Source organism: Homo sapiens, chromosome X (assembly GCF_000001405.40).
Source record: "Homo sapiens chromosome X, GRCh38.p14 Primary Assembly".
NCBI classification, from domain to species: domain Eukaryota; kingdom Metazoa; phylum Chordata; class Mammalia; order Primates; family Hominidae; genus Homo; species Homo sapiens.
Genome location: NC_000023.11, coordinates 95434009 through 95443926, shown reverse-complemented (window position 1 = coordinate 95443926; position 9918 = coordinate 95434009). Strand labels below are relative to the sequence as shown.

General features: G+C 35.2%; 1 pseudogene; it reads right to left on the bottom strand.

The window, feature by feature from the left end:
• Positions 1 to 9389: 9389 nt before the first annotated feature.
• LOC124905288 (uncharacterized) lies at positions 9390 to 9553 on the bottom strand (annotated as a pseudogene).
• Between the last annotated feature and the right edge of the window lie 365 nt (positions 9554 to 9918).

Here is a 9918-nt window from a genome sequence, read left to right as displayed (position 1 = left end):
AATTTGACCATAATTTATTGGATATGACCTCAAAAGTACAGGCAACAAAAGAAAAAGTAAATAAGTTCGATTTTATCAACATTAAATTTTTTTTGTATCCAAGGACACAGGGACAGGGTGAAAAGACAACACACAGAAAGGGAAAATGTGTGTAATTCATATTTCTGATACAAAATTAATATCCATAATATATTAGGAGTTCCTACAACTGAAGAACAACAGCAGCAACCAACCCAATTCAAATATGGACAAAGGATTTGAATAGATATTTTTCAAAGATGACATAGAAATGGTCAATTAGTCCATGGAAATATGTTTGTCATCACTGTTTATCAGAGAATAATAAATCAAAACCAGAATGAGATAGATACCACTTTGTAACCATTATCTGAAAAAAACAGAAATAAAAATTATTGGCAAGGATGTAGACAAATTGATACCCTTGTACATTGCTATAAGGAATGTAAAATGTTGCAGCCACTGTGGAAAATGGTTTGGCGGTTTCTCAAAAATGTAAACATAGTACCATCATATGACCCAGAAATTCCTAGCTGAGATTCACCAAATTTGTATTGAGTTTGTACTATAGGCCAGGTATTGTGCTTGGTATTAGGATATAAAGTTGAGTAAAATGGAACCTAATTGGAAAGAAGCAGAGGCAAAAGGATATTTTAATTACAGTGTACTAAGTCTAAACATATGTGTATGAACAAAGTATAAATGTTACCTACTGTTATTCACCCATTTTGAAGGAAGACTGCAAGAAAGCCTTTGTTCACAGAGGAGGTGACATTTGATCTGTATTTTGAATGCAACTGCATTATGACCTGGAATATTTCCAGCTTCTTTCATTAAAACATTTATCTATAGTAGACACTAGTCATTTTATGCTACTATGGAGTTTGATGTTATGTTAATCTTGATTTTAATGTCACACACCTGTCCAAGTTTATTAACCATAACATCACTTAAGCAAGTGATGAGGCAGTTAACACACTGAATTCAGAATACATCATAGGTAAAACATATTCTTATTCCCTTTTCCCTCCCCAAATTTAAGCCAGTGCACTTCACTTTTTGTTACAAATAACATTAAATTACAAATTTTAATACCTGTAGAGCAAATTACCATTGCCTAATTAATATCCAATTAGCACCTGCAACTCTCTACTCTCCTTGGAAGCTAGCTCAATATAGTAAAAAGTAATCAACAGAAGTCCAGAAATATTTATGATACTTCCAGTGCGCACTAAACTATATGGCATATATTTGTTCAATAGATGGTGAAAAAGACCAAGTGCAACAATGCTTTCATAGTCAAGTTGGGTCAATGAATCTATGAATCAGTTGCCTTTTCCTACTAATGTTAATGTCTCAACAGTCATCTTTTCTTGAATTGTACTAATTTTGGGTTGTTTATTCCCATCTCTTCCCATTCATGTTTCTAGAGTTATAGCTTTACTGCTGAATCAAATATCCCAGTAAGACCTGTTTAAAACAACCCTTTTTGGCTTCCTTAGAATGAACAGTCAGTCTTTGTTATGTAGTAAATTAATTTCTGTAATGAACACATATCCCAGATCTTTGCAGGTAATTAACAGTTCTCATTATCCAGGAGTCTTGGTCAATTTCTTTGGAAGCTGCAGGCTGATCCAATAAGCAAGCCCTGTGATTTTAGCACATTTTTCATTTGAAGAAACAGCGTGTGGCAGGTGTAGGAAGTGTTGTAGGAAAAAAATTTAAGCTATACTCCTTGGAGAACACAGACCAAAAGAGTACATTTATGTCGTTGAGATATCTCAGAGCACTATTTGCAAATGAACTGTTAATTCTTGCTTTTACAGTTCTGGGAAAATCTTCAGAATATTCTTGGCAAATAGAAGCTTTTTATTCTTTCTTCTTTTGGCATAGACATTGCACAGAAAAATCTGAGCTCTTTGGAATCATTCCTGAAACAAAAATTACAGGGGACTCTACTTAGAAATAGTTTAATATTCAACTGAAATACTGCAGATGCGAACTTATCGCTATTAAATTCAGTTATTCCTTATTACATGATTTAATTTGATAAAATTAAATTATACCCAGAGAGCTAAGGTCTTAATAGTACTGCCCGTATGTGAGTGGATTTCCAAAGAGTGGAGTCGAAGAATGTTCTTTAATAATTCTCCATCGTTAAAAATTTAGATTAGTCCCATTGCTTTTAAGATTTTTATAATTATATAAATAGGTTTACAACATCACCTGGATAATGTAGAGAATTACCTGCATTACCACATTTTTAACACATTCTGGCTCGCACTGCCAGTCTTTCTTTGTAGATTGACTATCAACAGCATGTATTTGGTACCTTGAAGTGATGTTTCAAATAAACCTAGGGGCTAGACAAATTAATTGGAGTACAAGAAGGTGTCAGAAAAGAGGAAAAATAAAAATGGTATTTTCAAAATTCTAAAATTATTATTGTTTAATTTAATGTAATTCAAAATGGATACTGCTTGAAGGGGTACAATAACTAGGATATTCTGTATAATGGGAACCTAGGCTTAGCTATTTAATCAAGTGAAGTATGATGGTGTTATAGTCTTCTGAATGGAAAACAGCTGAGTGCTTACCTGTCATTATTGGGGTTGAATGTTTATGAGTAGAAAGGTTACCCATGATTTAATGCATAGGCTCACATCTCTCTGAACCATTACCTGGGCAATGACAATGATTCCTGAAGGAAGATGACAGTCACTGGTGAAATCCATTGTAATTTTAGATGATAGCATTTTTGGTTATCATATGAAACCATCTGAGAGAACTCAGCAACTACCTGTCACCACTGACAACAAATAATGCAAACTAGATAGAGCTTTAGCTGCATTTTTTTCCTTTGAAAACTTATTTAGAACTTCTTAGAGTCAGTAGATTTCTTTTCAGAGATCAACCAAACTAGTTAATCCATTTCAGTCTTGAGATTGACCTATGAGGAGTTTGCTGGATATTAATAGGACTAGCCCTGCAACTAATAGCAGAATTGGGTTGGGAGTACAGAGAAAGTCAAGTAATTGAGGTATTTATTTAGTGTCTCACTACTCCATTGTGGTGCTGTCATTCTTGGTATTTACTGAGTCAGCTTACCAAACTGAGGTCTGAGAAGTATTTGCAAAGCCTAGCCCTTTACCTCTGATAAAATTGGCACCTCCAGTGCTCTGCCTTTCTCTGCCGGAAAATATGAATCTCCCAGATCTCTTCAATCAGTATTCAGCCAGGCTCATAAAACCATATTTCTATCCTCTGTTTTTCCCTTTCTTCTTTTTCTAATTTGTAAATACATAACCAGAGATATAAACTATGAAGATTGGAATATACACTATGGAATTGGGTGCCATAACCAACCACAATATATTATAAAGTTAATCCTAAGGCATATATTTAATTATATGCATAATCATTGTTGAACTGCATGACAATTAGACATAAATAGTAAACACTTCAAATAAATGACTATAATTACCAACACTTTTAATCAAGCCAAATCACAATTTCATTTTTTCTTCTCAGTTTGCTTGTTTGCCAGTATTTATAATACATGTCAACATTAACTGTTTCCCTGATATCATATAACTTTTATTTGATATCCTTATTACACACACCCACAGATATATTCATAACAGTCACACAAACCCAAAGGCCAAGCTCACATGATTATTTTTTTTCTGAAAATTAACGAATATTTGCCAATATTCTACCTCATGCCTATGCCTCAGGCTAAGTTTTCTTTTTACATTTTGCTCTTGATCTATACCTTTTGGAAAGGTATATCATTTCATTTTTAATTCAAGAAGTCAGAAATTCTAAATGCAATTAATGCCCCACATTTTTTTTATTCACTACCTCTATTTTTTTATTTTATTATTATTATACTTTAAGTTTTAGGGCACATGTGCACAATGTGCAGGTTAGTTACATATGTATACATGTGCCATGCTGGTGCGCTGCACCCATTAACTTGTCATTTAGCATTAGGTATATCTCCTAATGCTCTCCCTCCTCCCTCCCCCCACCACACAACAGTCCCCAGAGTGTGATGTTCCCCTTCCTGTGTCAATGTGTTCTCATTGTTCAATTCCTACCTGTGAGTGAGAATAAGCGGCGTTTGGTTTTTTGTCCTTGCGATAGTTTACTGAGAATGATGATTTCCAATTTCATCCATGTCCCTACAAAGGACATGACCTCATCATTTTTTATGGCTGCATAGTATTCCATGGTGTATATGTGCCACATTTTCTTAATCCAGTCTATCATTGTTGGACATTTGGGTTGGTTCCAAGTCTTTGCTATTGTTAATAGTACTGCAATAAACATACGTGTGCATGTGTCTTTATAGCAGCATGATTTATAATCCTTTGGGTATATACCCAGTAATGGGATGGCTGGGTCAAATGGTATTTCTAGTTCTAGATCCCTGAGGAATTGCCACACTGACTTCCACAATGGTTGAACTAGTTTACAGTCCCACCAACAGTGTAAAAGTGTTCCTATTTCTCCACATCCTCTCCAGCACCTGTTGTTTCCTGACTTTTTAATGATTGCCATTCTAACTGGTGTGAGATGGTATCTCATTGTGGTTTTGATTTGCATTTCTCTGATGGCCAGTGATGGTGAGCATTTTTTCATGTGTTTTATGGCTGCATAAATGTCTTCTTTTGAGAAGTGTCTGTTCATGTCCTTTGCCCACTTTTTGATGGGGTTGTTTGTTTTTTCTTGTAAATTTGTTTGAGTTCACTGTAGATTCTGGATATTAGCCCTTTGTCAGATGAGTAGGTTGTGAAAATTTTCTCCCATTTTGTAGGTTGCCTGTTCACTCTGATGGTAGTTTCTTTTGCTGTGCAGAAGCTCTTTAGTTTAATTAGATCCCATTTGTCAATTTTGGCTTTTGTTGCCATTGCTTTTGGTGTTTTAGACATGAAGTCCTTGCCCATGCCTATGTCCTTATTTTTTAACTCAAGACAAAGCTTTTATTTTATTATTCTTAGCTTGGAGAGAAGAGATGCAAGTTTACATTGGCACTTTCTCAGTTTCCACAGACAGCCACCAAAGAGTATGACCTCATGGTTTTAACCTTTTGATAAATCCTAATAATAGGCTTGCCTGTTATATTTTAAGTGAAAAGTGACAGAAGATCCCAGTTTTTAGGAATATGATTTCCCAAACATAAGCCACAATCAGGAATTGGTGTTACGTTGTCTCTACGACACTTTGGGGGCCAATATAGATAATTTTCCCTAGCCCCAGAAAATGACAAGAAAATACAAAGCATAGGTATGTGCATTACTTCCCCAGGGCTCCTGTAATAAATTACCACACACTTAGTGGTTTAAAATAGTAGATATTTGTTCTTTCACAGTTCTGGAGGCTAGAAGTCTAAAATCAAGATGTTGGCAGTGCCTTTCTCTGAATGATCTAAGGGGGGATCTTTCCTTGCCTCTGCCTAGTTTCTGGTGATTGCTGGCAATCTTTGGTATTCACTGGTTTGTAACTGCATCAATCCCACCTCTGCCTCTGTTGTCATGTGACTTTTTTCCCCTGTGTGTCTGTGTGTCCTCCCTTCTTCTAACAAGGATACCAGTCATAATAAGTTTAGGGCCTACTCTACTCTAGTAGGGCCTTATTTTGACTTCACTAATTACATGTGCAAAGACTCAACTTACAAATAAATTTACATCCTGAAATTTTAGGTGGACACGAGTTTTCTTTGGGGGGACTGTGACAGTTTTATGTGTCAATTTGGCTGAGCCACTGTGTCTAGAGATTTGCTCAAGAGGTAGCCAGAATGTTTCTGTGACGTTATTTTACGGTTAACATTAACATTTAAATCAGTAGACTTTGAGTAAAGCAGATTTCCCACCATAATGTAGGTAAGCTTCATCCAGTCAGTTAACAAAAGAATGACTGACTTTCCTCAAGCAAGAAAGAATTCTGCCAGAAGATTGCCTTTGAACTTGTACTGCATCTCCTCCTTAAGTCCCTAGCCTGCTGGCCTATCTTGTAGATATTGGATTTACACCTTCCCAATCATAAAAGCCAATTCCTTAAAATAAATCTCTATTTGAAGAGCCTCTTCAATGTTATTGTAATGAGCATCTCCTGTTGGTTTTGTTTCTATGAAGAACCCCATATAATACAGGCTTTGATACTAAAAAGTGGGGTGCTCCTCTAACAGATTTCTAAAAATGCGGAATTAGCTTTCAAACAGGGTAATGGATAGAAGCAGGAGAGTTTTGAGAAGCGTGTTAATAAAACACCTAGATTGTTTTAGACTGTGAATAGTGATTCTCTTGAGGTCTCAGACAGAAATGTAGAACTTGCTATTGAAACTAGAAGAAAGGTAGTCTCATTGTTATGAAGTGGTAAATAACTTGGCTGAATTGTGTTCTAGTGTTTGTGGAAAGTAGAAACTGTAAGTGACAAACTTGATTCTTTTACCTAAGATTTCTAAGCAAAGTGTTGAAAATACAGTCTAGTTTATTCTTGTTGCTTGTAGCAAAATGCAAAAGCAGAGAGATAAATTGAGAGAGAAATTGTTAAACAAAAAGGCATCAGAACTTGAAAATGAATTCTTAGCCTACTCATATTGCAAAAAATTGAGAAAATATGTTCTGGAGAGAACACTAAGGGTGGGACTGGACAACGACTCAATAAAGAAATTATGGTGTTAGCCATTTTAGCAGAAGCAGGAATAAAAATGTGGTTATATCAGCAGAAACAGGGCCAGCTGAGACTAAGGGAAACAAAGAAAGGACAACATAAAGAAAGACTGTAGGACGTCTGAGATTCTACAGGATGGGCTGATACAGCTATCCAGTTGCAAGCATGTGCTATCCTTCCAGGCAGAAGAAAGACCTCAAAAGTGGCTAGAAGACTAGAAGGGCTGCTACTTCCACTACAGGCCCAGAGGGCACAAGCTCAGTGGTTGAAGCTGTCTTTTCCAGAGTTTCAGAGGACAGGGCTCCCTTATCTGTTCCATCAGGCAGACTGCCATGTGCCAGTGGTTCAGAGACATGGCTGCAACCCAGGGTCTCATGGAAGTGACCTTGCCGACCCAGTTAAGTCTGGAAGGCAGAGCTGCCACATCTATTATTATAGACTGAGCAAAACAAGGGAGTTTGAGAGTCTTCCCTGGGTAAATACCATATAGCAGTGGCTGAGAATAAAGATCAGGTCTTTGCATATTCCCTTAGGATCCTTGCTTTCTGCACCACAGACTAGGTATTACTGTCATACATGTAATAAACTTAACCTGGTCTACTTTCAAAACCCATTTTTTGTACACTCCACTCTGAAATATATGTTTATGGGAAATAAGAGATGACTGACTTCTCTCTTATTGCCTTTATTAATCTTATGATCACAAGTTTATCCTTCACCTATGACTCCATCCAACTTCTGGAATCTTCTGATCCAAGCTTCTTATAATCTGTCAAACTCTTCTAGTCAAACTGGATTTCCACCTTTCTGTTCATCCCTCACCTCATCCTCACTCCATGCCTGCACACAATTTCCTGATATGTCCAGCCTACTTCATTCTATTATTGCCACAATTGGAAATATTATTTTCACTGCAGTAGATGCATTTATTTATGAATATGGATTACTGGAAAGAAAACAGTTAAAGAATCTTACCAAGGTCAAAATTACATAGAATGCATGTGAGCTTTTACTATAATGGGGAAAGGTGGGACTTTTATCAAAATTACCCCTTCTCCACTGACCTGCTATGCTACAAAGATACATTTTAAACATAATTCTAGGAACAGAAGTATTAATACCAAAACAGTTTTAGATAAAAATAATAATCAAGATGGCACTGGATCAACAATTACCTGCCAGTCTACATAATATTAAGTGTCTCAAATGTACAAAGCATTTGATAAAAATCCAGGAATTTTTCAAGTGAATGCATAGTTGACTGCAATTTTCCATTTTCATCGGGATATCTGACACTCTATAAAGATAATCCTAAGGTCTAGATTTCAATTCTTTATTTTGAGACTGCTTGGACATACAGTTCTATGTCATGACCATCTTTGGCCTAGTTCTAGAAAACAGAGTCATGGTGTGATTCAAATTGGCTCACTACACAGTGCATGAACCCTCTGTACACCATAGGAAACACTGTAGGATTAACAAAAAAAAAAACAAAAAAGAAAACAAGGATAATTTTATATCCTCGAGCAAAGCCTAGTTGAAGCCATAATCACAAAACTCTGTAGTCAATTCTGTCTTATACATTTGAATAGTTATATAAGAAAATTTGGTCTAATAAATGTCAAATAAAAATGTAAAATAGAGGCCAATGCAAAAACAAAGGGCAAATGCAAAATCAGTTAGGTGAGATATTTTTTTTTCATTTACTAGAAGATAGGCTTTTTGAAACAGGAAAATGAAAATGCTCTGAACTGTTCATCCCATGCTGAGAGGTGAGACAGGCAATAACTCTGATTCTTACTCAAATCTACTATTTGCTTGGCTGGCTGTGGTTTCCCCTGGAGCTTGAATATATTCATTAGATTTTCAATGAAAACTAAGTCAGACTGTAGAAAATGATGAAATACTTGTTAAGTAGTCTTTTTCCATCTCCAATAAACATGTACCTTCACTTCATTGGAATTGAGTACAAGTTCATGTGAGCTCTGAATGACTCAACCTTCAGGGACAGTAAACTGTGTGGCAGAGCAGACAGAAGCAATACCTTTGAAAGATAAATGGTGAAATACTTAGTATAACGTTTATACTGAGATACCAAAATCTAACTTAGTTTCCTCTCCTTGTTACTCATAATCATATCTTGGTTTTCAGAATAGTTTTGTGCTAGTTGTTGTTTTTGCACTTTGCTATCAGGTTGTCATATATGTGTGAAAAATATTCATTATAGTATGTCAATCATTTTAGTGCTTTACAATTTTCAATATCTTCACAAAAATGATGAAAGAAATTTCCATATATGTTATTTTTGTTTGAGTCTTGTTTGATTCATTCTCTGAGAATATATATCTTATTTTATTTTAGAAATAATTCAAACGTTCCAAAGTATTTTATTTTATTTTGTCCAACTTTACTGAGGTACAATTGACATTAAAAATTGTATATATTTGAGTTGTACAATGTTATGATTTGATATATGTATTCATTGGGTAATAATTACCACAAATTAATCAATACATTCATCACCACATATAGTTGCACATTGTGTGTGTCTGTATGTGTGTGTGTGTCTATGCATTGAGGACACTTAAGATTTACTTTTGTAGCAAATGTTAAGAACAGAGTGAGAGCCAATTCAAGTATTTTTTTAAATTTTTAAATTTTTGTGGGTACATAATAGGTGTATATAGTTATGGAATTTATGAGATGCTTTGATACAGGCATGCAATGTAAAATAATCACAATATTGAGAATGAGATAGCTATCCATTTATGCATTTATCCTTTGTGTTACCAAAAAATCCAATTACATTACTTTAGTTATCTTACACTTGATCTTAGCCAAAAGGCCAAGAAGTGATTAGTTATTTTAAAATGTACAATTTATTATTGAGTATAGTCACTCTCTTGTACTATTGAATAGTAGATCTTATTTATTCTCAATAACAATTTATTGTACCAATTAAATATCACCAACTTCCTGCCCACTCCCCAACTTCCCATTACTATTCCCAGCCTCTGGTTACCATCCTTCTACTCTGTATCTCCATGAATTCAATTGTTTTAATTTTTAGATTCTACAAATAAGTGAGAACATGTGAAGTTTGTCTTTCTGTGCCTGGCTTATTTCACTTAACATAATAATCTCCAGTTCCACCCATGTTGTTGCAAATGATAGGATCCCATTATTTTCTATGCTGAATAGTACTCCATTGTGTACAAGCAC